Source organism: Homo sapiens, chromosome 8 (genome assembly GCF_000001405.40).
Source record: "Homo sapiens chromosome 8, GRCh38.p14 Primary Assembly".
Taxonomy (NCBI): domain Eukaryota; kingdom Metazoa; phylum Chordata; class Mammalia; order Primates; family Hominidae; genus Homo; species Homo sapiens.
This window is the reverse complement of record NC_000008.11, coordinates 122,481,227-122,497,398: the sequence shown is the minus strand read 5'-3', so window position 1 is coordinate 122,497,398 and position 16,172 is coordinate 122,481,227. Positions and strand designations below refer to the sequence as shown.

The 16,172-nt window shown below is 40.8% G+C and overlaps 2 long non-coding RNA genes across 2 annotated transcripts in view, besides 1 other annotated feature; both read left to right on the top strand.

Moving 5' to 3' along the window:
• Positions 1 to 16,172, top strand: part of SMILR (smooth muscle induced lncRNA, enhancer of proliferation) — a 154,318-nt gene that overhangs the window by 71,246 nt on the left and 66,900 nt on the right. The gene's annotated exons all lie outside the window — the stretch shown is intronic.
• Positions 7,644 to 8,530: an enhancer, noted in NCBI's record as "NANOG-H3K27ac hESC enhancer chr8:123501108-123501994 (GRCh37/hg19 assembly coordinates)". NCBI's record gives its function as "activates a minimal SCP1, AML or CMV promoter by ChIP-STARR-seq in primed H9 embryonic stem cells {active_cell/tissue: H9 hESC(primed)}" and the evidence as "EXISTENCE:reporter gene assay evidence [ECO:0000049][PMID:30033119]".
• On the top strand, positions 9,983 to 12,204 carry LOC107986972 (uncharacterized). The gene is made up of 2 exons (XR_001746069.1): positions 9,983 to 10,012; positions 12,071 to 12,204. It is a non-coding gene; the product is annotated as an uncharacterized LOC107986972 (long non-coding RNA).

Genomic DNA, 16,172 nt, shown 5'->3' with positions numbered 1-16,172 from the left:
CAGTGAATGAAGGGATATATAATTAACTCATAGATTTAAGTGTCAAGGGGGAGTGATACTTGAGATGGATAAAAGAATAAAAACACATTATGACTGTCTTCTTTTATGTGCAATCAAAATCATGACCCTAATATCATCTCTAGTACCACACATGGGGTAGAGTATTGAGTGATGAGAGTGTGGAATCTGGGATAGAGCTAAATGGCTCTTCCTAAGAAAAGTAGGCATTTCAGAAACCATGAGATGGAAGGAGACTGAAGGCTGTCTGTGGGGAAGGTTGGGGCTGGGGTGGGGTAGAGAAGAGAGATAGAGCTATGTAGAGAATGAGATAGAGACAGAGAGACAAACAGAGAGAGACAAAGGGACAGAAATTGAGATAGAGAGACAGGGCTTGAGAAGGACAAAGAGAGATACAGAACAGACAGAATGAGACACAAAGAGACTCAGACAGACAGGGAGGGAAATGGATAAGTCAGTATGGTGGTGGAGCATCCTGGAGAGATTTTGTGAAAAGAAACATGCCTCACAGGAATTTTTCTAAAGTGAAATACTGTTAGTTAAACTCTGCTCTCTCTACAAAAGTCTTTGAAAAAATCTTTTTAAATTTTCTTTTTTAAAAAATTTTAAGTTCAGGGGCACATGTGCAGGTTTGTTACAAAGGTAAACTCGTGACATGGGGGTTTGTTGTACAGATTATTTCATCACCCAGGTATTAAGCCTGGTACACTTTAGTTATTTTTCCTGATCCTCTCCCTCCTCACATTCTTCATCCTCTGTTAGGCCCCATCCTCTGTCGTTCCCCTCTATGTGTCCATGTATTCTCATTATTTAGTTCCTACTTATAAGTGAGAACATGTGGTGTTTGGTTTTCGGTTCTTGCATTAGTTTGCTAAGGATAATAGCCTTCAGCTCCATCCATGTTCCTGCAAAAGATATGACCTAATTCTTTTGTATGGCTGCATAGTATTTCATGGTGTACATGTACCATATATTTTTTATCCAGTCCACCATTGATGAGCATTTAGTTTGATTCCATGTCTTTGCTGTTGTGAATAGTGCTGTAATGAACACATGCATGTATGTGTCTTTATGGTAGAGTGATTTATATTCCTTTGGGTATATATACCCAGTAATGGGATTGCCAGGTCAAATGGTAGTTCCATATTTTTAGCTCTTTGAGAGATCATCACACACTTTCCACAATCGTTGTACTAATTTATATTCCCACCAATAGTGTATAAGTCTTTAATTAAATATACATTTCTCACTAATGCCTCATGGAATGCCTTTTCTTTTAGGGACTAAACAGAGTATTGTCCATGCTCAAGGGTTGAAATGGACGAGAGAGAATTTGCCATCAGGAGACCTCTGGGCTCCACTGCAGGTGCAAACAGAAATTACGGCCTTTGTCCGTCAAGTCTCAGGTTTGCTTTTATTTTTATTTTTTATTTTTATTTTTTGAGATGGAGTCTCGCTCTGTTGCCCAGGCTGAAGTACAGTGGCACGATCTTGGCTCACTGCAAGTTCTGCCTCCTGGGTTCGTGCATTCTCCTGCCTCAGCCTCCCGAGTAGCTGGGACTACAGGCGCCCGCCACCGTGCCTGGCTAATTTTTTGTATTTTTAGTAGAGACGGGGTTTCACCATGTTAGCCAGAATGGTCTCAATCTCCTGACCTTGTGATCTGCCCACCTCGGCCTCCCAAAGTGCTGAGATTACAGGCTTGAGTCACTGCGCCCAGCCTCAGGTTTGCTTTAAAAAACTGCAGAACACTCCTGTATGAAGGGAGCACCAGGAACTGGTCATTCATGAATAAACAGCCCAGATCAGCGCAGCCACATGCTGGTGAGGATAAAGGTTTCAGGTGAGGTGCCACCAGGCTGTGCTCACAGCTCTTCTTGTGGCTACAACAATGACGAGGTGAGTCTGCACTGAAGAGGAGGCTGTGTCAGGTGAGGTTTGCCCCCAAGCTCCTTTGCAAAGCTGTTTCCTAAAGAACACTTTCAGCATCTAAGGCCACCTTCTGAGGTATGTGTGAAAGCTGTTTAGAGAACCCAAGGGTTTAAGAAAAGATTTACAACCCTTTTTCAATTAAGGTATATTAAATGATAAACAAGGAAAAAAATACAAATGATAGCAGAGCTGCTGAACTGGAAATGGGGGAATTCAGAGCTTACTTGCTTTGTAACCAGAGTAGGGTAGGAGTCTCTCCAAAGTCTCTCTGTGAAAGCTCCTAGGCCTCCCCAGAACACAGCTCTTAAAAATTGATTCCTTTATTCTTAGTTTTTGCCTCTCCAGGAGATTCCTAGAATAACTTATCCTATTAATAGTTCTGAGGTGTTCTGCTGAAAGAAAACATTTTACAATTTGTTTAACTAGTATTTCTCCAGCTTTATTTATTTGACCACAGAACACATTATTTGCCTATCTTTCCAGTGTATTTATTAACATATCAAGGCCAGTATTCTGAGGTAGCTCTGTATGAGAAATACTGCTTTATAGGCTAAAGATCTATACTGTCCCATGTGGTCGCCACTAGCCACTGGTGGCTACTGAGCACCTGAAATACCATTAGTCTAAACTGAGATGTGCTATTAAGTGTAAAACACACACTAGATTTTGAGGATTTTGTATGACAAAATGTAAAATTTCTTATTAATAATTTCATATTGATTACATGTTGAAATGATAATATTTTTCATATATTTCATATTTTTCATATACTTCATATACTATATTATATTAAACAAAATCTATTACTAAACTAGGTATAAACTAAAACTTGTTTATACCTAGTTCTTTTTACTTTTTAAAATGTGGCTATATATAAAAAGAATAACATACCTAGGAATACAGCTAACCAGAGAGGTGAAAGATCTCTACAATGAGAATTACAAAACACTGCTCAAAGAAATTAGTGAAGACACAAAGAAATGGAAAAACATTCCATGCTCGTGGATAAGGACAATTAATATCATTAAAATGGCTATACTGCCCAAAGCAATTTATAGATTCAATGCCATTCCTATCAAACTACCAATGACATTCTTCACAGAACTAGAAAAAAAACTATTTTAAAATTTGTTTGGAACCAAAAAAGAGCCTGAAGAGCCAAGGCAATCCTAAGCAAAAAGAACAAAACTGGAGGCATCATGTTACAACTTCAAACTATATTACAAGGCTACAGTGACTAAAAGAGCATGGTACTGGTGCAGAAACAGGCACACAGACCAATGGAACAGAATAGAGAACCCAGAAATAATGTCACACATCTATGACCATCTGATCTTTGACAAAGCTGACAAAAACAAGCAATGAAGAAAAGACTCCCTATTCAATAAATGGTGCTGGGGTAACTGGCCAGCCATATTCAGAAGATTGAAGCTGCACCAATTCCTTACACCATACACAAAAATCAACTCAAGATGGATTAAAGACTTAAATGTAAAACACAAAACTATAAAAACTGTGGAAGACAACCTAGGCAATACCATCCTGGACATAGAAACTGGCAACAATTTCATGACAAAGACACCAAAAGCAATTGTGACAAAAGGAAAAATTGACAAGTGAGCTCTAATTAAACTTAAGAGCTTCTGCACAGCAAAAGAAACTATCAACAGTAAACAGACAATCTACAGAAAGGGAGAAAATATTTGCAAACTATGCATCTGGAAAAGGTCTAATATCCAGCATCTTTAAGGAACTTAAACAAACTTACAAGAAAAAAACAACCCCTTTAAAAAATGGGCAAAGGACATGAACAGACACTCTTCAAAAGAAGACAAACGTGGCCAATAAGTATGTGAAAAAAAACTCAATATCACTGATCATTAGAGAAATGCAAATCAAAGTCACAATGAGATATCACCTCATACCAGTCAGAATATCTATTATTAAAAAATAAAAAAATAACAGATCCTGGTGAGGTTGTGGAGAAAAGGGAACACTTATACATTGTTGGTGGGAGTGTAAATTAGTTCAAGCATTGTGGAAAGCAGTATGGTGACTCCTCAAAGAGCTCAAAGCAGAACTACCATTTGACCCAGCAATCCTATTACTTGGTATATACCTAGAGGAATGTAAGTCATCCTACCATAAAGACACATACAAGTGAATGTTTATTGTAGCACTATTCACAATACAAAGACATGGAATCAACATAAAAGCTCATTCAATGACAAACTGGATGAAGAAAATGTGATACATATACACCATGGAAATACTATGCAGCCATAAAAAAAGAATGAGTTCATGTCTTTTGTGGGAACATGGATGGAGCTGGAGGCTATTATCCTTAGCAAACTAATGCAGGAACAGAAAATTGAATACCACATGTTCTCACTTATAAGTGGGAGCTAAATGATAAGAACTTATGAACACAAAGAAGGAAACAACAGGTACTGGGGTCTACTTGATGGGGGAGGGTGGGAGAAGGGAGAGAAGCAGAAAAGATAACTATTGGGTACTGGTCTTAATACATGGGTGATGAAATAATCTGCACAACAGACCTCCATGACATGTCTTTACCTATGTAGTAAACCTTCACATATACCCTCAAAGCTAAAATAAAAGACAAAATAAAATGTAGTTGTAAGAACATTTTAATGACATGTGATTTGTATTCGTGACTCACATTGTGTTTCTATCAAACAGTGGCAACATAGAACATAGCTGGACCATCTTCACCCACCTACAACAGAACCTCATTTCCAGCCCCTGGTGCCTCCATCTCCTTTCCCAGCACTCTCCCCCTTGCTAACTCTGCTGCAGCCACAGCATTCCTCACATGTGCCTGGAATGCTCTTCCTAGGTGTTATGGAATGAATGATGGTGTCCCCCCACATTCATATTTGGATTCCTAACTCCTTCAGGTGATGGTATTAGAGCTGGTACAATTAGGGAGATAATAAGGTCACAGGGAACCCTTGGGAAGAGAGTGTTCTTGCTCTCCTTCCGCCTTGCGAGGATACAAGAAGCTGAGTGTCTGCAACTTGAAAGAGGGCCCTCACCAGCACCTGATCATGCTGGCACCACCATCTCTGACTTCCAACCTCCAAAATTGTGAGAAATAAATGTTTGTTGTTTAACCACCCAGGCTATGGTAATTTATTATAGCAGCCTGAGCAGACTGAGGCACTAGGGCCTCTGCCTTAACCGTTCCCTCTGGAATGTTCTTCCCTGCCTTACCCACACAGCCAGTCTTCTTTCTTCATTCATGCATCTGTTCATATGTTACCTTATTAGAGAGGCCTCTGTGTTAGTCTGTTCCTCATGCTGTAACAAAGTTCTTTAGACTGGGTAATTTATATATAGCATTTATTTTTACTATTCTGGAGGCTGGGAAGTCTAAGCTCAAGGTGTGGGCAGATTCAGTGTCCAGTAAGGGCTTATTCCTCATAGGTGGTGGCTTCTTGCATGTCCTCACATAGTGGAAGGGCTCAAGCCTTTTTTATTAGGGCACTAATAAGCCTTTTTTATTAGGGCACTCATCCTATTCATGAGGATACCAACCTCATCATTCAGTCACCTCCACAGGCCACACCTCCTAATATCCCCACATTGAGGATTAGATTTTAACACATGAATTTTGGAGGAACACAAACATTCACACCCTAGCAGTCTCCTATCACTACTCACTTATTCATTTTATTTTCTTTCTTAGCACTAATTTTTACCTAACACATTACACGTTTATTTACCTATTTATTGTCTAGTTCCCTTACTAGAGTGTGAACTCCTTGAGAAAGGATAAGCTTTCATTGCTTTATCCCCAGTGCCTGGAAGAGTAGGACAACAGAGGTGCTTGATAAATATTTTTTCAAACAAAGGAGGAATGAATTAATGAATGACTCAGTTGAAATCTTTTTTCCTGCTGGTCCCAGATGCTGCTTTACAAGCCTTTTCATTGTATACCCTGGGCAGCCATACCCTATCACTAGAGCTGGCATTCTAGACAAGGCCCTTCACCATGCTGCAGAGATACCCTTCTCCCCACAGCCTCTGCAGGGTATATGCTGCCTGAGGGAATCTGTGGCATATCCACTGTGATTTTCTCCAAAGATAACTGCCAACAAGTTCCCACCTCCCTCGGTGCACAGGTTGCCCCACCAACTTAGAAATGGAGTCTATTTCCCCTCTCCTTGAATCCAGGCTGGCCTGTGATTTACTTTAACTAATGGAATGTGGCAGAAATGATACTGTGTCAGCTCCAGGACTAGCCCTTAAGAGGCCTGGAAGCTTCTGCTTTTGTTTGCTCAGAGTCAGCCACCATGATGTAAGGAAGTCCAAGCTATCCTCTTGAAGAGAGAGGACATATGGAGAGACACTGAGAGGTAAAATGCCACACAGTACTAAGGACCACATGGAAAAGAACTGAAGCCCCTCAGCCAACAGCTAGCACCAAGGCCCAAACTCTTCAGAGAGGCCTCTAAACTTCCAAAATATACCAGCCTTCAGCAGGATGCACTTGCATAAATGACCCCTGTGTGATACAAAGTGGGGCAGAACCACCAGCACAAGCACAGATCATGAGAAATAATATATTTTACTCTCTTACTCCACTAAGTTTCTAAGTGGATTGTCATATAGCAAAAGATAATTGACAAACCCATCTTGTCTATTTTTTTTTTTTTTTTTTGGTTGAGATGGAGTCTCGCTCTGTTGCCCAGGCTGGAGGGCAGTGACGCGATCTTGGCTCACTGCTGCCTCTGCTTTCCAGGTTCAAGTGGTTCTCTGCCTCAGCCTCCCGAGTAGCTGGCATTACAGGTGCCTGCCACTGTGCCTGGCTAATTTTTCTATTTTTAGTAGAGATGGGGTTTCACCATCTTGGCCAGGCTGGTCTTGAACTCCTGACCTCGTGATCCACCCACCTCGTCCTGCCCCATCTTGTCTTATTTTCTCATCCTCTGCTGATTACCACCTTGTCCACCTGGCTCAGGAAGCTGGCCTGCATTGCTGTGATGCTACCATGATAATACAATTATCTTCCTCTCCAGCGCAGCAACTTGGTCTGCTGTGCAGCCCACTTCAACCCCTGCAGGCCATGGTTGAAGGTTTGTATCTATCGGGCCTTACCTCTGGCCCTCTGCACAGTTCTGGGAAAGGTGGGTGGGGACTGTAGGATGGGGCTTTGGAGTCAGGTCAACCTGAGTTCCAATCACTGCTCTGTTTCCCAGCTGCTGAGGGGCCACAGAGTTATTTACATCTCTGAGCCTCAGTTTCCTTTTCTGCAAACAAGGACAGTGATACTTATCTCACTGGGCTCTTGTGAAGATTAGAGGTGATGTGTGTGTGTGTGTGAAGTGTCTGGCACAGTCATGAAAATAACCAGTGAAAACAAAACTCACCCTCCACATTTCCTTGGATAATATTCTGTCTCACTTTCTGAAGAGCTTGGCATTTCTAGTCAAACACAAGGAGCAGAACTGAGACCTGATTTCAGCCTTGTGTGGACTTTGAACATTGGCCCCCCAGAAAGTTCTCTCTAAGGCTTTGTTGTAGCAACCACAAACAACCAGCAGCCCACTCACAGGAAGCCCTGCCCTGTGGGCCCTGCGGCAGGGCTCTGCACAATAGGGATCTGTCTGCTGATTACCATGACCGTGACATGGCTTTGAAAAGCACATCTCATCGCTGCCTGGTGACTCCTTTCAGAGGCTCCCCCAGGGCAGGTTGTTTTGCAACCAGACAATGAAATCCAAATTTACTAGGTACTTTATTTTGGAGGTTGAGAGGGAAACAAAAATTCTTCAATTAATTGTTCATCCTAAACCATGTTATTGCCTCTAAACATTGCTTTCACCTTAATAAAACTCATACTCCAGGGCAGTAGCTATGTGGATAATGACAAGCTAAAAGTGAGTGCTAGCTGGAGTGAAAGTTAAGAAACAGGATCTGTCAAGTTGCCCTCCTGTGGAGACACTGATCCAGCCCAGGAGGCGAGGTTGTGTTGGTGTAGATAGGCCTGACTTTGCAAAACATGGATAAAGACATGGATATTAAGAGGTGTCCAGAGTTAGTGGGTACAGGGATGAGGTCAAGTTGCTCTACTTTCAGCTTTCCTAGGGGCAGGGAAGATATCCAGCTGGTAGGGGCTGGAATGGCACCCTGGAGAATGTCTGTTCTAATTGGTTAGGATCCCATGCTGATTGGCTAGTTGGACAGTGCTACAAACACAATCTGTACTGAAGGACACATCTGAATCAAGATCAGGACATAGTCAAATTCCTTTTACTTGGCTTTAGGGCTAGAAATTTGATGTATCATTCACTTGCACCCATTGAGGTAGTTTCCTTGAAAGCTTCCTTGGAGGGAAGTGGCAAAAGCTGTTAGAGGAGTGAAAGCTTTGGGAACAATCAGAAGAGTGTTTTCATTTGGTAGATTTGTAAATTCCAAGTTTGAAAAAGGAAAAAAAAAATGAGATGTAAGGAAGGGGTCCAGTTTCAGTTTTCTGCATATGGCTAGCCAGTTTTCCCAGCACCATTTGTTAAATAGGGAATCCTTTCCCCGTTGCTTGTTTTCATCAGGTTTGTCAAAGATCAGATGGCTGTGGATGTGTGGTGTTATTTCTGAGGCCTCTGTTCTGTTCCATTGGTTTAGATATCTGTTTTGGTACCAGTGCCATGCTGTTTTGGTTACTGTAGCCCTGTAGTATACTTTGAAGTCAGGTAGCATGATGCCTCCAGCTTTGTTCTTTTTGCTTAGGATTGTCTTGGCTATGCGGGCTCTTTTTTTGGTTTCATATGAAATTTAAAGTAGTTTTTTTCTAATTCTGTGGAGAAAGTCAATGGTACCTTGATGGGGATGGCATTGAATCTATAAATTACTTTGGGCAGTATGGCCATTTTCACGATATTGATTCTTCCTAACCATGAGCATGGAATGTTTTTCCATTTGTTTGTGCCCTCTTTTATTTTGTTGAGCAGTGGTTTGTAGTTCTCCTTGAAGAGGCCCTTCACATCCCTTGTAAGTTTTATTCCTATGTACTTTATTCTTTTTGTAGCAATTGTGAATGTGAGTTCACTCATGATTTGGCTCTCTGTTTGTCTATCATTGGTGTATATGAATGCTTGTGATTTTTGCACATGGATTTTGTATCCTGAGACTTTGCTGAAGTTGCTTATCAGTTTAAGGAGATTTTGGGCTGAGACAATGGGGTTTTCTAAATATATAATCATATCATCTGAAAACAGAGACAATTTGACTTCCTCTCTTCCTATTTGAATACCCTTTATTTCTTTCTGTTGCCTGATTGCCCTGGCCAGAACTTTCAATACCATGTTGAATAGGAGTGGTGAGAGAGGGCATCCTTGTCTTTTGCTGGTTTTCAAAGGGAATGCTTCCAGCTTTTGCCCATTCAGTATGATATTGGCTGTGGGTTTGTCACAAATAGCTCTTATTATTTTGAGATACGTTCCATCAATACTTAGGATATGAACAGACACTCCTCAAAAGAAGACATTTATGCAGCCAACAAATATATGAAAAAAAGCTCATCATCACTGGTCATTAGAGAAATGCAAATCAAAACCACAATGAGATACCATCTCATGCCAGTTAGAATGGTGATCATTAAAAAGTCAGGAAACAACAGGTGCTGGAGAGGATGTGGAGAAATAGGAATGCTTTTACATTGTTGGCAGGAGTATAAATTAGTTCAATCATTGTGGAAGACAGGGTGGCGTTTCCTCGAGGATCTAGAACCAGAATTACCATTTGACCCAGCAATCCCATTACTGGGTATATACCCAAAGGATTATAAATCATTCTACTATAAAGACACATGCACAGGTATGATTATTGCGGCACTGTTCACAATAGCCAAGATTTGGAACCAACCCAAATGCCCATCAATGATAGACTGGATAAAGAAAATGTGGCACATATACACCATGAAATACCATGCAGAAAATGATGAGTTATGTCCTTTGTAGGGACATGGATGAAGCTGGAGACCATCATTCTCAGCAAACTAACACAAGAACAGAAAACCAAACACCACATGTTCTCACTGGTAAGTGGGAGTTGAACAATGAGAACTCATGGACACAGGGAGGGGAACATCACACACTGGGGCCTGTCGAGGAGTAGGGCACTGGGGGCGGATAGCATTAGGAGAAATACCTAATGTAGATGACGGGTTGATGGGTGCAGCAAACCATCATGGCACATGTACACCTATGTAACAAACCTGCATGTTCTGCACATGTACCCCAGAACTTAAAGTATAATAAAAGAGGGTGGCAGAGATTGATTTTTTCCAATATTTATTTTATCCATTTTTTTTCTCAATAATAACATCTCTATTTTGGCTCGTGGCCACTTCAGAATAAAAACTTCCTTGCTACTGGATAGTATCAGCTGAGATGTCAGTAAGAAATGCGTGGCACACTTAAACTGGATAATTGACCAGAGTTTAATAAAGAGACTATTTACAAAGGTGTGTGCGGTACAGGGTTTTTAGAAACTCAGTGGAGCATATGCAGAGAGCTGTTACCATCCCTAGGCCTGAGAAGCCAGGGGAAGAAGTGGTCACCAAACCTCCAGAGTAACTGAGTAGGAAGGGGTGAGTGACAGGAATTGCCTTGGGAGATGTGGTGGCTGCCCTGGGGAAGGGGTGGAGATGGGAATGGTCTGTTCCTGGCAGGAAGAGTGTTTTATTATTGACATTGTTTAGAATTGTCTGTGGATGGTGATAATAAAAAGTTGGTAGACTTTTATTTGGCTTTCTTATTGCTTTTAAATTATCTACAGGCAATGTAGCCTTTATTGTTTGCAACCTGAAGTAGACCATTCTTGCTCATGCACTAGATAGAGGGATAGTGCCAACCCACATAGACTTAGAAGAGAGCAAGCTGGAGGGCCAGTCTTAACGTCCTTCACCTCCTCCGTTCCTGAGTGTGTCTCCCACTGGCTGTACTCAGTAGAAGCCAGAAAGCCAGGGGGCCCACTGATGTCATCAATTCAGGTAAATCCTTGACAGCACAAGACAGCGTAGAAAAGGGTGAAGTTGGATGTGGTGAAGGGACAAACAGAAAATATCCAGCACCAAGGGAAAGCCTGGAGGTTCAGTTCTGACCAATGGGGTGGAGCTTTGGTCGGTGGATTTGCAACTGTATGAAGTATCCTTAATATAAGTGGTGTGCCCACTCCTCTCTTCTCTTTCCTGCTGGTTAAAATTCAGATGTGATGGAGAGAACTGGAGCAGAAATATTACAGCACATGGTGAAAACACACATTGAGAATAGTGGGGCAATAAGAGAGAAGGAGGTTGGAAGGGTCAGGAAGGCTCCACACTCACCTATATTCACATGAATATAGGAAAACATATTTCCATTTTGTTTAATCCACTGTCATTTCTTTTGCCATTTGCTGCCAAACCTAATCCTACCTATTGCAATGAGTTTCTTCTGTGTGAAAATGTATGGAATGTATCTGTTTATCCATCAAATAGTTATTTAACAACTTCTGTATGCTAGGTCTGGATAAAATGGCACGAAGACACTGCTGGCCCCCAATTTTAGTCTCTAATATGAATATTTACAAGGCAGAACTGTCTTACCTGTATTTTCTCAAAAGGAAAGAGAAAGGATTTGAAGCCTCTAACCTTTGGATTAGGAAGCCAGAGTCTTACCTGTGTGGGACCCTGGGCCCTAGCCTACAAAGAACACCTAATGAGACTCTCATCTTCATTCTTTTTTTCAGGGATTTCAAGACACATTTGATATCTTACAGAGCTGATAGCTGCCGTGCATAGGGGAAATAAATGAGAGGAATATGTCTGCATAGTGGGGGTGCAGCTAGCCTTGGGTAGTGATTCATTTAATATTCTTTTGGCTGCAAGTAACAGAATATCCAAATAAAATTGGTGCTATGAAAAAAAAAAGTGGTGCTATGAACTGAATGTTTATGTGTCCCCTGAATCCATATGCTGAAACCCTAATCCCCAATGGGCTGGTATTCAGAGATGGGGCCTCTGGGAGGTAATTGTCATGACAGTAGAGAATGATGGGATTGGTGCCTTTACAAGAAAAGACAAAGAAGAGCTTGCTTCCTCTCTGATCTCCACCAGGTGAGGACACAATAGGATGACCATCAGCAAACCAGGAATAATGCCCTCAACAGACATCTGATCTGCTGACACCTTGATCTTGGACTTCTAATTCTGCAGAACTGTGAGAAATAAATAACTGTTTTTAAAAACCATCCAGTTCATGATATTCTGTTACAACATCCCAAACTAAGACAAGCGGCTAATGCAAAGGGCTTTCTTATCTCATGCAACGAGAAATCTGGAGGAGTACATTGGAGGGGGCTAATACAGAAGCTCAGTGATGTCAGGACTTTGGGTCAGCTTCCTTCTTATTCTCTTGACTTCCTCCTCTTGGCAAAAAGATGGCTGACTAAACTTCAAACGCCACATTTTCAAATAACAACATCAAAGTCAGGGAGGAAGGAAAGAAAGAAGAAAGGAAGAGAACATTTTTCTTTGTTGTATCTTTTTCTTAAGAAGGAAAATCTCTCCTAACATCCTGCTTCCCCTGACCCTCTTCAGATTTCCCCTCATTTATCATAGTCTAGATCTTGCACACATGGCTATCACCTTAAACCATCACTGGGTGAGAGAGGTGATTGCAGTGACTGGAGAAGGTCAATCATGATCTATCCCTGGGGCTGGAGCCATCTCCCTGTGTATACCAGTGCCTCACAGTAGCATGAAACCAAGACACCGTTAATAAGGGGGAAGCGCTGGTTTTGGCAGTAACAGGAAAAAGGAAATATAAAGGCCATTCTTAAAAGAAGGAAAGGGAAATTAAACACAATTTAACTGCAAATAAATTAAGCGATATTTTAGGCTGAAGTTGACTGAACAAATGCTTAGAGTCTGGGCCATTGTTAGGGACAGAAGGTTGACTACTATGATGGAAAGGAACAATTAGGGTGAAGATTCTAAGGAGAGGGAATTATAAGTAGAAAAAGGCAGAGATTAATCATTGATTTTCTGCTTCTGTGTCTTGGTCATGGCTACCTGGAATGCTACTTTGATCTAATTATGTAGTTTATGGATATACATGTCAAGGCCCCTATAGGAAAATAATGGCTCACTCAAATTGGGTAATTACAGAGAATTTAGTATAGAGACTGTTTATAAAGGTGTAGGCAGAGTTTAAGGAAATCAACAAGGCATACTGCAGTACCGTAGTGCACCAAGAATGTGGAGCCATTATCATCCCCAGGACGGAAGAGGCAAGGAGAGGGAACAATTACTGTAACCTGGAGAGAGATGCTTTAAAAGGATACTGTTATAGGAGCTGTGGCTTTTGGTAAAGGGACATAACTAACCCATAGTAGCCTGGCAGAGCAGGAGTCTGGACACCTCACCCCCATTCTCTGTCATCTCTAATATCCACTCCCCAACTTCAGCTGAACAAAACTGAAAACTAGAGGGCAAGGGAACATGTTGACACAGATTATAGAAGATTTTCTGGGGCACAGAGTAGATGGGTGGAAAGTGGATCTTGAGGTGCAAATGGGAAATAAAGAATATACTCTCATAAATGTAGCAAGAAAATTAATGTGTCTCTTTTAGTGCGGATAACAGAAACAAGCATAATAAAAATGGATGGTAATAATAATAGTACATTTTAATGATACATTTCATAAGCTAAAGCCTGAGGCTTGGAGACCTTAAATTACTTACTCAGTTTAACACAGCCTGGGATTCACACCCACATCTGTCCTACGAGAGTCCACTCCATTTCCATCACGGGCTGGATGGTGACTGTGGCATGGCTGTCCTGGCATTATGAATCAGCATCAGTTGCCTTTAGACAGTAAGGAGGCAGGAAGAGCAAATGATCATAAGAAACCCGTTTCCTGTTTTTAGATCCTTACTTTGGGGAACATGACTAGGACTCTGAAGACCTTAGGGGAACCTCACTCTTCCTCTTGAGCCTTCTTATGTTGTGACAGAAGGTGTCTGTCCTTGTGTAAATCTCATACTATGAGGCCATCCTTTTATAGTTAGCACTGATAGCCATCCTGGTGACCTCTTCAAAGGGAAACATCCATCTTTGAGTCTAGAGTACCTGGAGGGACCTGTCTGCTTTCCACTATCATGCTTACCCTCTCAAACCTGCTGCTTCCCAACATTCTCTACAGCAGTGACTTCAGGATGGAGGGAATCACTGGGCAGCTGCAGAAGGAAGGGAGCAGGGCTCTAGGGGAGGAGATGGTGGTTCATGGTGGTGGCTTCATGGACTTGAAGACCTATTGTGGTTCCATCCCTGGCTCTGCTCCCTACAGAAAATATATATTTCTATGTGATGTGAATTTTGGTATTCTGAGAGGACCCCCTAAGCTTCATCACAAATCTGGTGCCTAAAATCCTGTAGTCCATAGTACATTTCTTTAAAGCAGCTTGATGTATTACAATTGTATCTTAGCTACTTTTTAAGGTACTATATTGTATGCATAGTTTAATTGAATAACTACAAGAAATTATGCTACTGAGGCTCCTAGGGGGTTCACAGTCACACAGTTGGTGGTTGATGGAACTGGCATTTGAAACAGACTCCTCTGATTCCAAATCTAGGGTTCTTCACTACTATATTTTACTCATCATGGCTTGAAGTAAGGTGGGCATAGATTTGCTCATCAACTGATGTATGTATGAGATCTCCAGAAAGTTGTTATTTTTAAGTCTGAATTTTTTCCTCTAAAAAATGGGAGCTGAAGGAATGGCAAAACAATATAGAATAGACAGGCTGGAGACACTAACGTCAAACTCGATCTTCTTTAGAACTTTTTCAAAGCCAGTGGTGGCAGGTGGGGATGGTTCTAGTCTTCCCCGGGTGAATAGCATCATGAGCAGATTATCTCATGATGAGGGGAGAGGGGCAGAATATTGGCATTGGAGAAGAAGTACTGGATATAACAAGAGTGGAGTTTTTACTCTTCCACTTGCTAACTGAGTAAACCCGTGCAAGACTCTTAATCACTGTGACATACCTAGAGACTGTATCTTTATCCGTACAACATACACCTGCTTTATGTAACTATACAACATCATTGAGAGTCTTAATTGATCGACTGAGAAAATGCTATGTTGTAAATTATTATATGCTGGGTCATGTAATTTGTTATATAATCACTTTTTTTGTTTTTTGCCATGAAGAAACCAAATCTTTACCAACAAAACTAATTTGTGTCTAGGGAAGTTTGTTTCTCTCTTCTTCGCCTAGTGGTTACATTACTTTCCAGCTACAAAGGGGTGTTTGACATTGATATATTACAATTTGACCATCTTATTTGCTTTAAATATTTTTAAAGATACGATCTATTGAAGAGGTAGCTATCATAGAGCATTTAAATAATACAGTTTATAAAAATAATTTTTATTAACTTATGTGGAACATAGGTTTATAAAAGTTACTGATAAATACACGGTGAATTGCTTTAATCTGTTATATATATTATACAGAGGCAGGCACATCTGTAATTGGCTGATTAAATTCTCCTTCTCTGATCTCAGAAGCCAGCTTGATGATTTTTCCCCTTTCCAGTGTAACACAGTGTGTGGCTGGCCATCATTAAGGTTCCATTTCATAGATAAGGAAAATGATGCATAAACACATCGTCTGAGTTCTATAATGTTACTTAGAATCTGAAGCACCAAGATCCCACCTGTGTATTTCCCACTAGATAAATCAGACTGCTGCACATACTAGAGAAAGTCAGATGTGTATGGGCCACGTGAACATAGCCTAAAAATGATGACTTATTAAGAGTAATTATAGACTTTAGAGGTGATTTTCCAAACTATCGTTTTCATTTCTTGCCCTAAATGTACCTTTTGGTGTTACTATCAGATAGAATACAGGCTTGAAATTGGGCAATCGTTTCTCTTCTTATATTTTAGAAATGTATTTTGAGAAACTATTATCAGAAATAAAGAGCCACTTTCCTCAAGTTGGAATCTGTGCATTTTTAGCTAAAAAATAAGAATGATCTTATATTTTTGTGGTTAGAATCATTTATAAGGATGGGACAGACCAGAATAAGTCTGAACTTTTTCCATATAAAAAATGAGAGCTGAAAGAATAGCAAAACAATATAGAATAGACAGGCTGGAGACATTAACATCAAACTTGATCTTCCTTAGAACTTTTTAA